General features: G+C 46.7%; 1 protein-coding gene and 2 long non-coding RNA genes across 15 annotated transcripts in view, besides 5 other annotated features; 1 reads left to right on the forward strand and 2 right to left on the reverse strand.

Annotated features, from left to right (window-relative positions):
• Positions 1 to 960: a silencer, noted in NCBI's record as "silent region_15844". NCBI's record gives its function as "represses an Ori minimal core promoter by ATAC-STARR-seq in GM12878 lymphoblastoid cells {active_cell/tissue: GM12878}" and the evidence as "EXISTENCE:reporter gene assay evidence [ECO:0000049][PMID:35858748]".
• ACSL1 (acyl-CoA synthetase long chain family member 1) overlaps positions 1 to 1,138 on the reverse strand; it is a 71,000-nt gene extending 69,862 nt beyond the window's left edge. For 11 of the 12 annotated variants that reach the window (NR_167702.1, NR_167703.1, NR_167704.1 and 8 more), the window contains exon 1: positions 460 to 512. The gene's annotated coding sequence lies outside the window, so the exon portion shown is untranslated. Of the gene's footprint in view, positions 1 to 459; positions 513 to 1,068 lie in introns of those variants that run through there. The other variant, XM_017007887.2, reaches the window with a different exon arrangement.
• LOC105377587 (uncharacterized) lies at positions 715 to 18,750 on the forward strand. 2 transcript variants are annotated; one of them, XR_939564.4, is made up of 3 exons: positions 715 to 1,515; positions 5,657 to 5,979; positions 18,666 to 18,750. It is a non-coding gene; the product is annotated as an uncharacterized LOC105377587 (long non-coding RNA). The 2 variants fall into 2 exon arrangements; XR_001741947.1 differs by lacking the exon at positions 715 to 1,515 and adding an exon at positions 4,635 to 5,064.
• Positions 1,081 to 1,584: an enhancer, noted in NCBI's record as "H3K4me1 hESC enhancer chr4:185747691-185748194 (GRCh37/hg19 assembly coordinates)". NCBI's record gives its function as "activates a minimal SCP1, AML or CMV promoter by ChIP-STARR-seq in naive H9 embryonic stem cells {active_cell/tissue: H9 hESC(naive)}" and the evidence as "EXISTENCE:reporter gene assay evidence [ECO:0000049][PMID:30033119]".
• Positions 1,081 to 1,690: a biological region, named in NCBI's record as "H3K4me1 hESC enhancer GRCh37_chr4:185747691-185748194".
• Positions 1,191 to 1,240: an enhancer, noted in NCBI's record as "active region_22241". NCBI's record gives its function as "activates an Ori minimal core promoter by ATAC-STARR-seq in GM12878 lymphoblastoid cells {active_cell/tissue: GM12878}" and the evidence as "EXISTENCE:reporter gene assay evidence [ECO:0000049][PMID:35858748]".
• Positions 1,411 to 1,690: an enhancer, noted in NCBI's record as "active region_22242". NCBI's record gives its function as "activates an Ori minimal core promoter by ATAC-STARR-seq in GM12878 lymphoblastoid cells {active_cell/tissue: GM12878}" and the evidence as "EXISTENCE:reporter gene assay evidence [ECO:0000049][PMID:35858748]".
• MIR3945HG (MIR3945 host gene) overlaps positions 17,840 to 19,592 on the reverse strand; it is a 12,357-nt gene continuing 10,604 nt past the window's right edge. Inside the window, exon 3 of the long non-coding RNA NR_132989.1 lies at positions 17,840 to 19,469. This is a non-coding gene — a long non-coding RNA (MIR3945 host gene). The remainder of the gene's footprint in view (positions 19,470 to 19,592) is intronic.

Genomic DNA, 19,592 nt, shown 5'->3' on the forward strand with positions numbered 1-19,592 from the left:
GCCCCACGCGCGGTCCGAACGCCCGCGAGCCCGGCCTCTGGGCAGGCGGGGGCCGCGGACGAGGGCAACGTCAGCGGCCCAGCTGGGCCACCTCCTCCCAGCCGAAGCGCGGCCTCCGGCTGCTTCGCCGGGCCGGTCCCCGCCGCCGCACACACAAGGGTCGGTCCCGCGCGCATCCCCGGCCGCGCACCAGCCCCGCGCCCGCGCCGCCCGCGACTCAGACACAGGAAGCTGCGGCAGCACGGGCACCCCGGAGGCCTCCGGCTGCCGAGGGAAGCGGGGCCGCGGGCAGGAGGCCGGAAAGGCGGCGCGGCCCCACGAGCCTGGGGTGGCTCACGCGCCTCCGCGGCGGCCGCTGCTCCGGGCTCGGCCCTGAAGGGCAACGTCAGCCGGCGCCTCGGCCGGGGCCCGGGCACCGCCGCGGGAGCAGGCGCGGCTCCGCACGGCGGGCGCACTCACCTCCTCCGTGGACCGGCCGCTCCGCCGCCGGCTGTCACTGCAGCCCACTCCCTGCCCCGCGCCGGCTCTGGATGCTATTTAAGGCGCCGCTGGCGCCGCCGCCTCGGCCCGCTGGTTGCGCCCCCGCCACCGCCGCGGCTGAGCCAGGATGCTGCTGGTGCGCTCGCCGCGCCGGCCCCGCCCTCCCGCGGCCCCGCCCCGCCCGCAGGCCCCGCCCCCGGCAGGCCCCGCCCCGCCGAGCGCCCGGCCGCCCTCCTGTCTGGGCGCGCGTGGCTGGCGGGTGGCCGGCGGTCGAGAGGCTGCGGCGGGCGAACGCCGCTGGAGTCGCCCAGACTGCCTCGGATTTCATAATGAATCTGAGGAAGGACAAAGGGTACATTGGACCGCCTCAGCTCAGAGGCCCCGCGGACCCTGGGCCCCGCGATGCCCGAGGGGCGGGCGGCGCCCTCCGGATCCTGCACCCTCAGCCCGTGCCCCGCTGGCCTCCTGGCAGGCCGGGCAGAATTCTGCTGCGAGGGCCCTGGAGGCAAGGGCCTTCCTCTCCGTTTTTCCTTGACACTGACGGGCGCGGCCCCACAGGGTTTCCCCCACGCTCCCTGGCCGGAAGACCTTTTCTGTCTGGTGTCTGCAGAGCCTGACGTGGGCAGCGCCCGCAGCTCGCGCCGGTGCAGGGGAGCTGAGGGCCGACTGCGCGCTGCACCACGGCGGCCACCTGCTGTGCGGTTCTGAGGGCTTCCGCGGTTCTGAGGGCTTCCGCGTCCCTGCCATGCCCATCTTGGGGCTTCAGAAGCCAACACGATGGTTTTCGGGCTCACATCCCAAAGGCTGCTCTTCCTTTTAGCACCTGGGACCTACCAGGAACCTCAACCTCTAACAACATTGGTCCCCGTTACCGTGGAGTTTGCGCCCAGCGTTCGCTGGAGGGCCGTTTGAAGAATGATTGTTGTCGTAAAGGCCTTTGATAATAATAGATACTGTTTACCCAGTGCTTGATGCCAGGCATTGCTACAAACACTGCGTACACATTATTCTATTTAATCTTCATAACCCAGTGAGGTAGGTACTGTCATTACTGTCCTTTCACAGAAGAGGAAGCTGGGGCACAGAGGTTAAATGCTAGTGAGAGCAGTACCACACTTGGCACTCAGGCTGCCCCCAGAGTGTGGGCACAACCAACGCAGGGCTATGCCTGGGCTGCAGGCAGGGGAAACTGACCGTGGTTCGCTCCAGGCCTCAGCCACACTGCAGTTCACTCCCACAAATAACTGAAGGACTTTCCCTGGGTGTCTCCCACAGTGTGCTGGGCGCAGTGGTGCAGTGGGGTGAGGACAACGCACACACCAGCAACCTCTCTAGCAGCTCAGTCCTTTTAGATCTCCATCTTCCAGATCTAGAAAAAATGGACTCCACGTTCGTTTTCACTGGTTCCCGCTTGGCTAATCCCTGGTTTTTCTGTCCAGATCTCGCCTCCCCATCCGTGATTTTGTCATCTTTGCCTCTCCTTTTTCCTCTTCTCCAACCGGTCCCTCAGCCCCAGAACCTCTGCAGGCACCTCCCAAGTTCTGTGGTCTATTGTTTTCAAGGGCTGCTGGAACGAAGTACCACACACTAAGTGGCTTCAACAACCGAAATGTATGGTCTGTCCTGGTTCTGGAGACTAGAAGTACAAAATCACGGCGTGGGAGGGCTGGCTGCTTCCGAGGCCCATGAAAGAGCATGTGTGCCCGGCCACTCTGACTTGCAGATGCCCATCTTCTCCCTATGTCTCCTCACACCATCTTCCCTGTGGTGTGTGTGTGCAAATCCCTTCTTTCTATAAGGACACCAGTCATACTGGACTAGGGCCCACCCGAATTGCCTCATTTTAACTTGATGACCTCTGTAATCATGAGGTAATGTCCAAGTAAGGTCCCATTCTAAGATACCTGAATGCCCAGGCACGGTGGTTCATGCCTGTAATCCCAGCACTTTGGGAGGCCGAGGCAGGCAGATCAACTGAGGTCAGGAGTTCAAGACCAGCCTGGCCAACATGGTGAAACCCTGTCTCTACTAAAAATAAAAAAATTAGCGGGGCATGGTGGTGCGTACCTGTAGTCCCAGCTACTCGGGAGGCTGAGGCAGAAGAATTGTTTGAACCCAGGGAGGTGGAGGTTGCAATGAGCCAAGATCACGCCACTGCATTCCAGCCTGGGAGACAGAGCAAGACTCTGTCTCAAAACAACAACAACAACAACAACAAACCCCTGAACATATGAACTTGGGGAATGTGGGGGTGACAATTCAACCCGTAACATGTGGATGGTCGTCACTGGCTGTCTCACCTTACGTCTTCTCCTCAAGACACTTTTCTTTTAAACTGGGTGCCTCTCCCTGGGCTCTAGCCCTTAATGAGGTGATTTCCAACTCAAGGCTGGGAAAGGCACACAACCCAGTATCAGACCTGAGTTCACACTCCTTCTGGCAGGAACTTCTAGGTGACATTGGGAAGCAACTTCATTCCTTAGAACCTAGATTTCTCCTCAGGCTATAAGGGGGCTTGGCTAAATAATCTCTTAGGTCTCTTTCAGCACACACACTTAAAAAAAAACAAAAAAGTTTTTATCTAATCACTCCAAAAAGTTTTACAATGTATGGGGTTGTCTTGTGGACTTGAGATAGAGACTTTGATGGGAGGCAGTATTGCATAGTGGTTAAGAACACAGGCTTTGGGGTGGGTGAATCCACATCAAGCCTCATTGCATCCTCCTTAAATCAGGAATAATACCTACCTCAGACAGGTGTCATAGGATTGACAGCCACGCCCTTGGCGTTCTCATTAAATGAAGATTCCAGACTCTATAGTTGGGAGTTTGTGACTTAGGTAAGAAACCAGTCTCTTTTTTTGAGACGGAGTCTCACTCTGTTGCCCAGGCTGGGGTGCAGTGGTGCGATCTCGGCTCACTGCAATCTCTACCTCCTGGGTTCATGCCATTTTCCTGCCTCAGCCTCCCAAGTAGCTGGGACCACAGGCACCCACCACCACACCCGGCTAGTTTTTTGTATTTTTAGTAGAGATGGGGTTTCATTGTGTTAGCCAGGATGGTCTCGATCTCCTGACTTCGTGATCCACCCGCCTTGGCCTCCCAAAGTGCTGGGATTACAGGCGTGAGCCACCGCGCCCGGCCTTTTTTTTTTTTTTTTTTTTAAATGAAGGACATGATTGTTTTTAAAAATTGGGCCAGGTGCGGTGGCTCACACCTGTAATCCCAGCACTTTGGGAGGCAAATGCAGGAGGATTGCTTGAGTCCGGGAATTCAAGACCAGCCTGAGCAACATAGTGAGACCCTCCGTCTCTAAGAAAAAGTTTTTAAAAATTGTGTCACAGTGATCACAATGACCACTATTCACATCATAATGGCTTTTCTTTTGGCTATTAACACTGCAGTGTTTTTGTATACTGAAATGTGTCTGTGGGACCAACAGCATTAAAGAATAAAGATCCTAGATGAAAATAAACACTAATAATCCTGGTGTCCTCTCCAATAGAATTAATCTAAACTCCTTATGAATCAGTAGCATTATAATGTTATGTAGTTATGAGGAATAGAATTCTTTTAGAAGCAGGCAGCATGAACTTATACTTCCTTGTACTTACTTCTTTAAGAAACCAGTCTTAACCCTCCTTTCTACTGTCTTTTTTTTCAAGCATCTCTCTAGCCAAGGGAATAAGAGCCAATTGGATATTGTAGTGGTGCAAATTTCCTAGCGGAAATTTGAGTCTTTTTTCGGTCACTCCTGCCCTTGTTACATTTTGGCCTGATTAAAATGTTGTGGCTAATTCTGGCTAAATCCACATTGACATCTGCCTAACACCGATTGATCAATCTCCTGGAGAAGCTAAAGAGAACTGGGCCGGGTGCAGTGGCACATGCCTGTAATCCCAGCATGTTGGGAGGCCAAGGTCGGCGGATCACTTCAGCCCAGGAGTTTGAGACCAGTGTGAGCAACATGGCGAGATCCTGTCTCTACAAAAAATACAAAACTTAGCCCAGCATGGTGGTGTGCACCTGTAGCCTATAGTCCCAGCTACATGGGAGGCTGAGGTGGGAGGATCTCTTGAACCCAGGAGGTCGAGACTGCAGTGAACCGTGATTGCACCATTGCACTTTGGCATGGGCAACAGAGCAAGACCACATCAAAAAAAAAAAAGAAAGAAAGAAAAGAAAAAAAGAATCGAAGTCTTTCTGGGTCAAGCTGATTAGCAGGTTTACAGTGGCCTTGTCTCAAAAGTTCCCACTTGTGATTAGGAACTACAAAGCTGTGATTATTATTAATCTTCTGCACCTATTGCTTTTGAGCATGGCTATCTGAAGTATAGCCACATCAATTAATAATGGCCGATGAGCTTTTAATTACAGACCTCGGTAATTGGCTGGTTAAAGGAAGATTGGCATCAGTAACTGAGTTCTTTTTGTTCAATCCATTTTGGGACTGCAACTATATTAGGCATACATCCATGCCCCCATGAAACTGTAAGGGACTGGAAGGAGGCAGTGTGTCCCGTGAATCCTCATGAACCATCCCAGTCTTTCTTACTCCCCTGCACGTCCTCTTCATTTACACAGAGTAGGTATTCAATTGTTGAGTTGGACACATTTTTCTAACTACTCGATGTCAACCAAGGGTAGATCCACGTTTGGAGCCTTAAACTTACACAGTTTAGGGAACCTCTATAAGAAAATTACAAATACAAAGTTGGATACAAAAGTGAATGTTTCCTTTAGAATTAGAACAGAAATCACAGTAAACTACAAATTTTAAAAGTTTGGGCTTTCTAGGGCCTCCGGCAGTAGGGAAGGGAAAAAATGTTGCCCACATAATTGCAATCATAAATTTCACAAAATCCAGAAAAAAATCACCTAAAAATTTTATTAATTCTTTTTTCCTACCACTCTAATAAGTTTTTTTCCTGTGTTTTGGGCTGTGTACTAATGAATGTTTTCTTCATGCGACATTTTAAATAAACTTTATAAAACAGTTTTTGATGTATAGAAAAATTGCCAAGTTCCATAAACCCCCCACCCAATTTCCACTGATTAACATCTTAGATTAACATTTGTGATGATGACTGAGCCAATATTGACACATTATTATAACCAAAGCCCATCCATTGTTCAGATTTCATCCGTTTTTACCCAGCGTCCTTTTTCTGTCCCAGGATATCAACCAGGATATGGCATTGCATTGGATCCCAACCAGGATATGACGTTACATTGGATCCCAACCAGGATATGGCATTGCACTGGATCCCAACCAGGATATGGCATTGCACTGGATCCCAACCAGGATATGGCATTGCGTTGGATCCCAACCAGGTTATGGCATTACATTGGATCCCAACCAGGTTATGGCATTGCATTGGATCCCAACCAGGATATGACATTGCATTTACTCATCACGCCTCCTTAGGTTCCTCTTGGCTGTGACGGTTTCTCAGACTATCCTTGTTTTTTAGGACCTTGACAGTTTTGAGGCATACTGGTGAGTGTTTTGTAAAACATACTTCTATTGGGAGTTGTCTGATGTTTTTCTTACGATTAGACTGGGGTTATAGGTTTTTAGGAGGAAGGCCACATGTGACATTTTTATAATATAATTTTCTACAGGAAGAAAATTCGGACTTTTCTCTACCATGATTGATGGGCTTTTCTTACATTGTTAGTTTTGATTCAAAATCAAAACTATGTGGATGGGTACCAAATTCATTGCTTTTCATTTTAAATGAATGCTGATTGGAAAAATTTTCAGTGGTAAACCTACCGGCTATGTCCATTTCACTCCGTGTTTCTCTTCCCCTGCCCATCTCCTAAGATGCCTTAGGAGAGGGGAAATATGATCTCTGGCCTTGAACCTCCTGCCAGGATGCTAGATAAGTTGACAGAGAGGGTGGAGAAATATACCTGAAGGCATTCCTGTGCGGAGAAAGCTAGAGCTATACATGCAAGTCCCTGTGAATTCCGTAACTACATCTCCCCAGACCCAAAGAAATGTATGTTCAGCTCCAGCTCTTGTTAGCTGGGTTCCAAAGATGACCTTGGTCACTTCAGCACCATAATGGGATGAGGTGGTGACAGAAGAGACTTTGCATAGAGTGCACCAACTGTGCTATGTGCTGTATCAACTGATTGCAGCTACGTGGTCTTACTTTTGCAAATTTTGTGGAAACATTTAACCATGTGACTAGGTTGCCAGAGCCCCTCCCGAGGTCTCACAAGGGGCTTCTATAAATGAGAAGCCCTAAAAATCAAGCTATGTGAGCCTCGCAATGAATCTACTCCCGTTGGCAATGCTTTTTGCACCGTTATGATGCCACTGCTTGGACTTGCTAGTTCAACTCTCCTGGGCTTCAGCGGTAGTGAAGAAGAAGCATTTCCACCAGGCCGACACTGTTCTAACACTACTGATAATTATCCTGTGGTCTTCAGTGGCCCTAATGAAGTCATAGTCCCTTTCTCCACACCCCTTTTAGTTTTAACATGCACTTGATCCACTGGCTTCATCCACTCCATGTGGGAGAACAATCCACAGCTGCTTAGGCCGCAGCTGCCCAGGGTTTCCCCTCTCTTTTCTGGGTTGGAGGACTCCAGCTCTCCCAGACTCACTGCTCAGGCCTTCTCCTGGCATTGCAGTTCTGCCCCAACACAGAGCTGACAAACCAGGGCGTCTAGACCCCACCCTGCGTCCCCACAGCACTCTATTTTTTTGTTCTTGGAAGTGATATGAAGATCTTATGTAGTCAATGTCAAAAAGAAATGATAATTACTTCATTTTTCCCACTCAACTGGCCACTTATTCCCAACTAGTAAAATTCAACCTCTGCAAGGGTTTCTAAGGCACCCTTCATAACCTGACCCTGCTTTCCCCGCCAACAAGTTCATATCATTTTCCTCTCCAGCTATCTGTAGTCAAGAGTAAAAAGTCTGGAGTCACACAGGTTGGAACCAATTCCACTACTCACTAGTTCAGACCCAAGGCAAGTAACTGTCAAATCCCTGTCTTTCTTATCTGCTGAGTGAATATAATACTGTATTGCATCAAATCTAAATCATCAATTGTAAGATGCACTATTAATTTATGTAGCCCTGATAAAGAAAAGAATTTCTGCTGATTTTAATTGCAAAACATTGTCCTTTGGAAGATGCACCCTCTATCAATTCGCTTTTGCTGTATGACAAATCACACCAAAACTTAATGGCTTAACACCACAATCATTCATTAGCTCATCATTCTGTGGGTCGGCACTTGGGCTAGGTTCAGCTGGGTGGTTCCCCTGCTGGTCTCTCTTAGGCTCAGTCCTGCAGCCACCAATAGCTGGTGGATCAGCTGGGGCCAGATGCTCTGGGATAGCCTCATTTACATGTCTGATGGTTGGCTGACAATTTGCTGAGGCTCCTCAGTTCTTCACATGGCCACCCTAGCAAACTAGCTCAAGCGTGTTCAAATAGTAGTGTCACGGCTACAAGCACAGCAAAGGGGACAAGCCTCAGGGCATAAATGCTTTTCAAACCCCTTGCATCATGTTTGCGTGCTTGAATCCAGGCAGTCTGGTTCCAGACCCTCGACTCTTAACCTGCAGAGAGTTCCGTCTTACTGGAGAGGGGAATGAGAGCAGGGATGGGTCCCGTTGGCTAAAGCAAGCCACATGACCAAGTCAAGACTCAGTATGGGAAAGAGCTACTGAAGCACATGGGTACGAGGAGGAGAATTTTGCTGGTTATTTTGCAATCTACCCACATCCTGACTGTGTACATAAAAAAGTCTGAAGAAATTTGTACTAAGAGTGCACAAGTACTAAGAGTAGTAGTGCTTGCCTCAAAGAGTTGAGTAGTAGGGCTCTGTGAGATAATGTCAGTAATATCACTTAGTACAGTGCGTGGCCCCTGGTCAATGTTCTGTACGTACTATTACTATCACATTTGTGTCCGTGCTTCTTTCTACCAGAAAGCTGGTAAATTCATGTTTATCCTCCCAATCCTAACTCAGACATCACTTTCCCTAGGACACACACACAATTTGTTGCTCCCAGAGCTGTGCCACCCTGTACTTTACACACATTGCCTTTGTTGCAGCAGGTTGTCATTCTTGTGCTTCTGTGGGCCTGGCTTTGGGCTTTTTGGTAGCAGATATTCTGTGTCTAGACACCTTCCATCCCCAATACAGTGCCTGGCACTTGATATGTGTTTATTTAATTGAAGTGACATGTTACTTCCAATAGAACTTCTTCTCATTCCCCTGGGTATCATCTTCCTTTCCTCTGGGGATGCTCCCACAGCACCCTACCATCTTTCTAGTGTAGGACTTGTGACACTGAGCTGTGATGACTTGTTTGCGTAACATGCACACATAAAGAATTTTCCTTATTTCTTTATATTACACAGAGCTCCCCAGTACCATGACTAGCGGTAGCAGCAAATACTCTATAAATACCTGTTACATTTATTTATTTATTTATTTATTTATTTATTTATTTTTGAGACCGAGTCTCACTCTGTCACCCAGGCTGGAGTGAAGTGGTGCAATCTCAGCTCACTGCAACCTCCACCTCCCGGTTCAAGTGATTCTCGTGCCTCAGCCTCCCGAGTAGTTAGGATTACAGGCACCTGCCACCAGGACCAGCTAATTTTTGTATTTTTAATGGAGACAGTGTTTCACCACGTTGACTGGGCTGGTCTCAAACTCCTGACCTCAGGTGGTCTGCTCACCTTGGCCTCCCAAAGTGCTGGGATTATAGGCATGAGCCACTGCGCCTGGCCAACACCTGTTAAATTTAGAAAACAGAGTTTTCAATCTCTGTCTTACACCCAAGAAGGCCTGTGGCCCAGAGATCCGGAGTAAAATTAGATTCAGTATTTAATCCATCAATAGCTCGTTCTTACTGCATCCCTAGGGTATGAACTCTGCTGACTTTTCTCTCCTCTTTAGATCACAACCCAGTGACATCACCACTACACAGAGAATCATTGCAGGCCCTATCCATGTCTCCGTGGTCTCTCTGATCCCCCACCCCCACCCCAACACACACACCACGCGCGCTCACAAACGTCAGTATTTTATGTGAGTAGAGTGTGTCTATAAATACCATGGACAGTGGATGGGACTTGGATCAGGTCTTTTGTCACCCTATGATACCCTATGGGGGCAGGACCCCAGGACCCCATAGAGTTGGTATATTGGCTCGGAGGGATGTTGAAACTGTGAGTGGAACAACATACCACCATCCTCCACTTCCATTTGCACCCTCTACTTCTCTCCTGCAGCAGGCTGACGCCGGCCCAGAGCCTGCATACAGCCACAAGCTCACTTCTCAGCCTTTTGGAGGCCATGCACCACCTTGGGAATGCAATGGAAGATTCAGACCCTCCTCATAAACGTTTCCCACATGCTTTCTATGGGTTCCCTGGGGTCCCCAGTTAAGAGCCCTGGTGGAATAGAAAGGGCACTGGATTTGTACTTGCAGAGATCTAAGTTCAAGGTCTGATTCTACCTCTCACTAATTCTGTGGCTGATCTCTCTGAGCCTCAATTTCTACATCTGAAAATGAGGTATAGCCAGCACTGCAGGTTGTAAGGGGCCTGCTACGTGATAGGTCCTCAGTTTTGCCTTCCCCGTCTAAGCCTCCTAGGTACCTGGTTACCATTTGCAAGAGCCTGGAGCTAACAGGTGGAAGTTTCATTCCAAGTTCAGGTCTTCATGCAATCACGTGAAACCATTTACTGAGCATTTATTATGTGCTAGCCACAGTGGTAGGTGCTGGAGTATGCAAGTGTGTGTTTATACCTGGCTGTGAAAGGTATACAGAGGTGAACATAATATGAGACCTCAGGGAGCTGGTAGTATGATGACCTAGTGCCCATCTATCCACAGAATGCAATTTGCCTAAAACGTTTAGCACAAAATGTTTTACCTGATTAACCCACTACAAAGACATCTTATTATTGATACCTCCAGCGTTTCGGCTATGGGATCAAAGTCTGGCCTATGTTTGACACCCGTATATCTCTGTGAAAATACATTGTCTTCCTCGAGTCTATTAAATTCAATGCCAAGAGCCTCCATTAGGGATATTCTTGTGTAGTCAAAATTGAGTGAGATGTCTTTGGCATGAATATATTGAATGTACAGCTTTTGAAATTAGTTCACTATGGTAAATATCAATGTTTTCACTGACTGAATAAAATTGATTATAATATTGCACTCTACACAGCTAAAGATTATTAACTTTTGGGGAAATGATTTTTTATCATGGCTAAAAATCCATTTTTAAGATGCTTGTCAGGCTGTTCTTTTCAGCATAGTTCTCAATTGAAAATGTAGACAGCTCATGGCATTGTGGGCATTTGTGCTCACTGCTGAACACATTTGAATACCTCTGCTCTCACAGTCTTTTCTTCAAGTCAAACAGTCTACCAGAATGCACTAAGCTCCCATTTTGCCAAGAAGCTGGCTGTTTGAGAATAATCTGGAGAGATTCCTAAAGACTTTGATAAGTGTAATTTTTTGAAAGCTCTGTCTCTCTGGTGTCATTCCTACTGAGGCTGCTCATGTCATTCAGGTTCCATAATTTGGATGTTAAATGAAAAAAAAATGAAGCACAGTGGTCTAGTTTACAATTTAGGTTAATTGGCCTACTTCAATGTATCTCATTTTCAAGTATTTTCACCTTTACTATGAACTCCTACTTACTGAGCACCTACTATTTTGTACAGTTCTGGGCCAGGAACTGCTGTGAGTATGAGACACCTGCCTTCTCGATTGTAAGCAACAGAAATCCACCATGAGCAATATGAGTAGATATAGAATTCACTGAAAGGAAATTGGAGACTTTCAGAGACTGAAAGACCTGAGCTGGTGTGTGGTCCAAGAAGCAGGAAGAAGAACCACAGCCATCTCTTAACAAGAACAGGCTGCTCAGAAGCCTGCCGGCCAACACAGCCACAGTAACTGCTACCAGGCTGGGTCCACTGCAGGCCACAGCTGCTGCACAAGGAGGTTCCAGCCCTCCTTTTATCTTTGCCGCACGCACCCGGGAGTCAGAATTCTAGGCAAGAGCTCCTGGTTGCCAGTCTTTGGTCCTGCGCCTGTGCCCTGGCTGCTGGGTGTGGAGTGAGGAAAAGGATGCCTTTGCTTTGTTGTCTGTAGTTGCAGAGAGGGTGACATGACCCCTCCAAGTAGGAAGAGGTTATTAAATACTGGATAGTAAAATATGACAAAGCTCCACCACATTCTTTGTTCAATGATAAGACAAGTACTAGCATTAGAATTAGTTTAGACAAAGGGAATTAAATTTTTTTTTTTGAGTCTCGCTCTGTTACCCAGGCTGGAGTGCAGTGGTGCGATCTCAGCTCACTGCAACCTCTGCCTCCCCAGTTCAAGCGATTCTCCTGCCTCAGCCTCCCGAGTAGCTGGGATGACAGACGCATGCCACAATACCCATCTAATTTTTGTATTTTTAGTAGAGACAGGGTTTCACCATGTTGGCCAGGCTGGTTGGTCTCAAACGCCCGACCTCAAGTGGTCTGCCCACCTCGGCCTCCCAAAGTGTTGGGATTACAGGCGTGAGCCACTACGCCCAGTGGGAATTAATTATTTACTGGAGAAATAATGGTAGGCCTTCAAAATAAAATTTTGAAGGAGGAATGGGTAAGAATTACCATGCAGATAATGATAAGCCCAGGCATAAATGTGGATGTATACAGAGGCCCAGATATATGAGACAGCATAGAGGGTGAGGTTGGAGGAGTAAAGAAAGGAGACAGGGCAGAATTGGCTGCCCTTCTCAGCCAGCTTAGACCATTGGACAGTGGTACGGAGACACACTGAGCAGTTTTAGACAGAGGCAGGTCACATTTACCTTTTAGAAAGCTCACCTTGGTCCCTGTACGGAGAGTGGATGGCAAGAACTGGTGTGGGTTGCGGTAAGCCAGGCTCGGGGAGACCAGGTTTTCTCATTCTGGCTTTTTCTCCAATTAGCTATGTGATCTGGTCTCCAACTTGATCTTAACCTGTCTCATTATTTTCATCTTCTAAAGTGCTTTGATTGGAAAAGACAATTCTAATGTGGTCCATTCTACCCTCAAAGTTTAGACTTTGTTACTGTAAAGGCAAATTGGAGTATGATTATTAAAAAAACTTAAGTTGCAGGATAAATTATTTGAACTACTTGTTTACTTATTCAACAAATATTTTTATTTTTATTTTATTTTATTTTTAGAAACAGGGTCTCACTCTGTCACAGGCTGGAGTACAGTGTCGTGATCATAACTCACTACCGCATTTAACTCCTGGGTTCGAGCAATCCTCCCACTTCGACCTCCCAAGCAGTTGGGATGACAGGCGCATGCCACCACATCCTGCCAAGTTAATTTTTTTTGGTAGGGGTGGGTAGAGACAAGGGTCTTGCTTTCTTGTTCAGGCTGGCCTCCAACTCCTGGCCTCAAGTGATCCTCCCGCTTAGGTGTCTCAAAGCACTAGGATTACAGGCATGAGCCACTGCGCTGGCCTCAACAAATATTTACTGACTATTATTTATGTCTCAAAACACTAGGATTACAGGCATGAGCCACTGCGCTGGCCTCAACAAATATTTACTGACTATTATTTATGTCTCAAACACTGTTCTAGGCTTCAGAGGATTAGCAGTAAATAAGAAAAGTCCTTACCACTATGTGAGGTCTTTTGAATGAGAACTAGATTCTAGCAAGAGGAGTGGGGGGCAGTCAACAATAAAGAAACGACTGTCTAATGATATAAGGTGGTGGTATGTGCTATAAAGAACAAAGCAGGTTGGGGGGATTTGGAAGTGACTGGAGAGAGGCAACTCTTCATAGGCTGGCAGGGCGGCCTCTCAAAGAAGTGAAAGAGATTTTAAACAGAGATTCAAATGAAGGGAGGAATCAAATGAAGATAGGCAGGAAGAATTTTCCAAGCAGAAAGATCAAAGAAATGGCAAGTGGGAAGGTCTCCAGGCATGTGAGGGGAAGAGCAGGCAGGTCAGTGAGGGCGGAGCACAGAAGAGGGAAAAGCAAATACAAAGGCTCCGAGTCATGTTGAAGAGAAGACAAGAATATCTACATGACGTCATGGAGGGGCCAGAAAAGGGTGACGAGAGATGACTTCAGAGAAGTGGCCAGGGACCAACCTTCATTCATGGATTGTTGATTGTTTCATTCTTTCAGTGCAAGAGGCACTGTGCTAGGATCTGGGAATGCAACCATGAACTGGCCATGCCTTCAAGGAGCTGAAACCCCTTCCAAGGGGCTCAGAAGACATCAAACGTGTCTTTTTTTTTTTTTTTTTTTTTTTTTTTTAAGACAGAATCTCGCTCTGTTACCCAGGCTAGGGTGCAATGGCGTGGTCTCAGCTCACTGCAACCTCCGCCTCTCGGGTTTAAGCAATTCTCCTGCCTCAGCCCCCCAAGTAGCTGGGATTACAGGCACGTACCAGCACACCTGGCTAATTTTTGTATTTTTAATAGAGATGGGGTTTCACTATGTTGGCCAGCCTGGTCTTGAACTCCTGACCTTGTGATCTGCCCGCCTCGGCCTCCCAAAGTGCTGAGATTACAGGTGTGAGACACCACGCCTGGCCAAAAGACGTCAAACGTATCTTCTCTCGTCAATCTTTCTTTCCATGTCTCCATAGCTTGCCAACTCTCCTGCAGTCACACTTTTCTGGCCCATTGAGCTTTTGCTAAGGATGTTGGCTTTGCCTGGGTTTGCCCTTGTTATCACCTCATACAGCTAAATCTTCCTTAGCCTGTAAGATTCAGCTCAAATGCCAGTTCCTTGAGGAAGTTTCTAATACCCCAGACTGCGAGAAGTCTCTACTGCTCTATGTCACTCACCCATTTATCTGTCCATCTGTCTATTCAGCCATCCTTCCATCCATCCATCACCTTCATTGATCTTTTCCCCTCCAGTCAGTAACAGGCCTGTCCTGGGTACCACTGATGCCACAGTGGACAAAATACAATCTTGCCTTTGAGTAAGTCAGAAAGCAATGGCAAAGTCAGACAAGAAAATGAACTTGAAATATAGGGAAATATTACAGTGAATTATTGTTTAACGGGCACTGCTGTTTGTTCAATGTCATATGGAGCACAATAAATAATAACGAAAAGTGAAATATCAAATCCTGACTTTAAGCATGGCTCCTGTTTTACAAATGGAGTTTGTAAATAATTTTTCAATGTATAGGATAGATATTAAATATTGGCTTATCAAAGATTTAATATACAGTCTAAATGGTAGAAATTCAACTGGACAATTTGCTATGATGACAACAGTAAAATAATTGTCTCATCTTCTCCTTTATGGCTTTCACTGACATAATGTAGTCAATTCCTCCAACAGTAAATTTCTTTTTCTTTTTCTTTTTTTTTTGAGACAGAGTTCTACTCTGTCACCCAGGCTAGAGTGCAGTGGCACGATCTCAGCTCACTGCAACCTCTGCCTCCCAGGTTCAAGTGATTTTCGTGCCTCAGCCTCCCGAGCAGCTGGGATCATAGGCACGTGCCACCACGCCGGCTAACTTTTGTGTTTTTAGTGGAGACGGGATTTGGCCATGTTGGCCAGGCTGGTCTCGAACTCCTGACCTCAAGTGATCCACCCACCTCGGCCTCACAAAGTGCTAGGATTACAGGCGTGAGCCATCATGCCCAGCCCAAATAGTAAATTTCTATGTAGATAAAGTAATTAATCAAAAATTGGTATGAAACACTCTACCAACTAAAAATCTGTAGGAGAACCCTCCTCAAGGCATTTATATTATATAATTGTGGGGATAAGACTCAGAAATGAAAAAGTAATTTCATTTGTGAAATGCATTTTTAAAAAGGCAGTAGAGGATAAGAACCAAATGAATGGTATATAGGAAGTCAGTGATATGAACTCACAGAAGTATTGAGGAGGGAGGCTTTGAATTGGTCCTTTCGTGATGAGCAAAATTCAGAGGATAAAGTAAGTGGAGGAAAAACTTCACATTGGGGAAATAATGAAAGCAAAGGCCTGATTGAGAGCTGGTGAAGGGCTGAAAATCATACAGAAGAGTGTGGAGTTCGTTGGAATTTATGAAGTTGGTGCTAAGTTGTCTTGTTTACCATTATCCCCAGCACCTAGCATATAGCTTGGCATAGCTATGTGTTGGATGAATGGATTTTTAAAAAATGAATGAATAAGCCATAGGGAGCTACTGCAGATTCTTATTTACAATGACTTAAAGAAAATGGTGCTTATGGGAGATTAACCTGGCAGCAGTGATCATGATGAGCTGGACTGAATAGAGAAGACAGTGAAGAAAGGACCACCTCCTGGGAGGTCACATGAAGTATGGATATATGGATCTGCTCCAGATGGTGCCTTCAGGTTTAAGAAACAGTTGAAGGAACACATAAGAGTCACCAATGGAGATGAGTGGTCAGGCAGAAGGAGGAGTCAAAGATGACTGGAAGAATGGCGGTGTGTTTATGGGGTCTATTGAGTTGTAAGAGAGGAGGGTGTTTCAGGAGGATTGCCATAGGAGAAGGTGACATTTAGGGGCAGGAAGAGGGAGGGCATGAAGGTGTGGAGTCCTTAGTCTAATTGCAGAGAGGAGCATCAGAGTCGTCTGCTCTTGTGGGCAAAGGCCTCACGTGAAACATTCAGGCTCCTAGTCCTCCGTCTTCTTGTAAGCTAAGTTAATTTCCTCTGCAATTCTGTAGCAATACAAACTCATTAAATAACCAAATCAGGAAAGTGTGTCTGTGAGGTAGTTCCATCATCTTTGATTTCTCCTTCGTTTTTCTGTGATCCTGCAGAAGGCTATTTTTTGTTTTGTATGTTCTAAGTAGGGATGAGGGTTCTGCTTTGCTTGCTTCTGAACTGGAGAATGCTGTTGGGGAGGTCCCCAAAGGCAGCAGGAAAAGCCCTGGGGTGGAAAGTGATGCTTGCTGTCGTTATTGTACCCGCTATTGTACCCACCCTGTGGGGAAGGCTATGCAGCCAATGAATGGTCTAGTCAAAGCCTGGGCATGCCTGTCTCTGGACCCCACATCTGTGGAGGGCTTTATAAAGAGGGTAAATTTCTGTCTGGACCAGCCAAGTGAAGACTTGCCCGAAGGCAGGTGTATATTTAGAGGACTGCCTCCAGCTGTTTCCCTCCCACAGTGGTGTCTCTGTGGAAGTGCATCTGTTACATGCGGATCAAAGTCATCTTGCCATGCAGTTCATAGCATCCATGCTTTTGTCTTTATCAGAAAGGTAATAACGGCTTACAGAATTCTGATAGTGGTGGCAGCATCACCTGGACAGTCAGAAATAATGCACGTGAGAGATGAAGGGGGCTTATCCCTAGGTGATAACAGTGACAGTGGAAAAAGTGGATGTAGTAGCAATGGATGTTGCAATGGGACTGTTTCTTTTCTTTTCTTTTCTCTTTTCTTTTCTTTTCTTTCTTCTTCTTCTTCTTCTTTTTTAAGACAGAGTCTCACTCTGTCACCCAGGCTGGAGTGCAGTAGCATGATCTCGGCTCACTGCAACCTCCGCCTCCTGGGTTCAAGTGATTCTCGTGCCTCAGCCTCCCGAGTAGCTGGGATTTCAGGCACATGCCACCATGCCCAGCTCATTTTTTTGTATTTTAGTAGAGACAGGGTTTCACCATGTTGACCAGGCTGGTCTCGAACTCCTGATCTCAAGCGATCCACCTGCCTCGGCCTCCCAAAGTGCTGGGATTACAGGCATGAGCAATAGGACTGTTTCTTGAATGGATGGGATTGGGTGGTGGTGATCATGGGGGAAGAAGAGTAGGAAACTAGAGGACTCAAGAATGACTTCTAGGTATTTGCCCTGAAAAAAAACAGATGGATCATGGCGCCATCTATTAAGATGAAAAAGACTTAGGTAGGAGCCAGTTTGCGGGGAAAATAAAAAATTCTGCTTTGGAGATGTGAAGTTTGAGATGTCTATTACTCATCTAAGTGGAGTTTGCAAGTAGGCAGTCAGATATACATCTCAGGGGAGTTCAGGGCTGAAGATTCAAATTTGGGAGATGGATTTTTGTAAATCTCCCACCTCCTTCTCAGGCATTAGTTTAAGATAAGGAGAGGGTAGAACTGCTCCTTGACTTACCAGAAATGAGGAGCAGATGCTATTTGTTCACTTGTACTTTTGTCCATCCCTCAAATATTTATGGAGTACTTTCAGTGCTAGGTACTGTGCTGACTTTTATGGACTGGATGAGCAGATACAGGTACAGACACCGCTCTCATTGAGTTTGACATCCAGGGCTGTGCAGTAGAAAGTGAGCCTACTACGTAAGCTGAATTTTCTAATGGCCATGTTGAAAAGGTCAAAAGAAAGAGATGAAGTTAATTTTAATAATCTATTTTATTTAACCCAGTATATCAAAAATTAGTATCATTTCAACATGTAATCAATATAAAATTACTGAGATATTTTATGTTCTTTTTCTCATACTGTCTTCAAAATCTGTTGTGTCTCTTACACACAGCACATCTCAATTCAGACTTAGCCGCATTTCAAGTGCTCGATAGCCTGGATCTAGAAGATGCTGTAGAACTTGGCTCCCTGATGTCTAAACCCCTCCCTTCTCTCCTGCCCATTGGTGATCTCCAGACCTTCGGGGACTGTTGGGAGCTCCAGTGTGCTGTAAAATAGTGAGGTGTAAACCTTGGGCACACAGCCCCAGAGCAGAACCCCAGTCCACCTTGCCCAAAGTGCCAGCAATGGCAGCCTGATGATAGAGGTGCCATCATCACACAGATCAGTATCCAGCTGTTCCTAGCCACACCTGGATTAATTAGTGACCACTGGAAGATAATTGCTGTGTTTTAAAACTGAGAGCATTGCCACCATGTACCATGGTAAATATATTTGTTAACAAGATAAAAAAAATGTTTTTTAGTAAAAGCAACTTCAATCCTGGTGTCTCCCCCGACAACTCCCCTTGTCCTGTTTTCCTGGCACTGGGTGCTGACTACTAGGCAGCACTTCTTCTCTGAATCCCACCGCCTGGGCACAGGAGAGATCAGAATGTGTTTGGTGAATGAACGAGCTCAAGAATGGGAGGCTTACTCTGTGACTTGCGGGAGGAGAATGTGTGGGATTTTTGACATTGGTTCCTTCTTCAGATGACAGATACAGACAATGACGAATGCTCTCTCTTCTTATCAGGAGAGCTCAACGTGGGCGTTTCTTTCTGTAACAAGTATGCATCATGGCTGGCTGACTCCTCCCCATAACAAGCAGTTTAAAGGTGAACGGAAATGGATCTTGGCGATAGCAGCTTTTGGAAGCCTAGGCGCGGCACAGAAGGTCAGACAGGAATGGCTTGTCTTCCACTACAACATGGGGCTTCATCGGAAGCACCGCTGCTGAGGAACAACCACCTCCTCCTGACCATCGCAAGCTGCCCAGGAAGACATGCTCATAGCAGTGTCCGTTTCCCTGCCTAACTTTCCACCAGAAGATTCCTTCATGTCTACGGGCGGACCCAGGCCGATCTTGGAATGCATGTTTAAGTTTGTCTGACCTTTCTATCTTTTGCCTTCCTCTTCACTAGAGAACCTGAGCACTAGGTTCTCCTGTATTATTTATTTTATCTTATTCTTTTCTTTTTTTTTTTTTTTTTTTGAGGCAGGGCCTTGCTCTGTCACTGAGGCTGAAATGCAATGGTGTGGTCATAGCTCACTCCTCGGCTCAAGTGATCCTCCAGCCTCAGCCTCTAGAGTAGCTGGTATTACAAATGTGCAGCACCACAGCCAGCTAATTTCTTTTCTTTCTTTCTTTCTTTCTTTTTTTTTTTTGTAGAGATGGGAGTCTTGCTGTATTGCCTACGTTGGTCTCCAACTCCTGGGCTCAAGTGATCCTCTTGCCTCAGCCTCCCAAAGTGGTGGGATCACAGGTGTGAGCCACCACATCTGGGTAGATTCTTCTTTAGGTTCCTGAGCCTGGAGAGATGGCCTGCAGGGGCATCTGCTGCAAAGGAATGAGATAAGCTGTGATAATCTGGGTCCTCCAAGAAGCAGAAGCCATAGATTTTATCAGGGAGCTGGAAAAAAGTGGGATGACCATTAGACTGCAGTGCAAGTCTGACTCCAA

Source organism: Homo sapiens, chromosome 4 (assembly GCF_000001405.40).
Source record: "Homo sapiens chromosome 4, GRCh38.p14 Primary Assembly".
NCBI classification, from domain to species: Eukaryota; Metazoa; Chordata; class Mammalia; order Primates; family Hominidae; genus Homo; species Homo sapiens.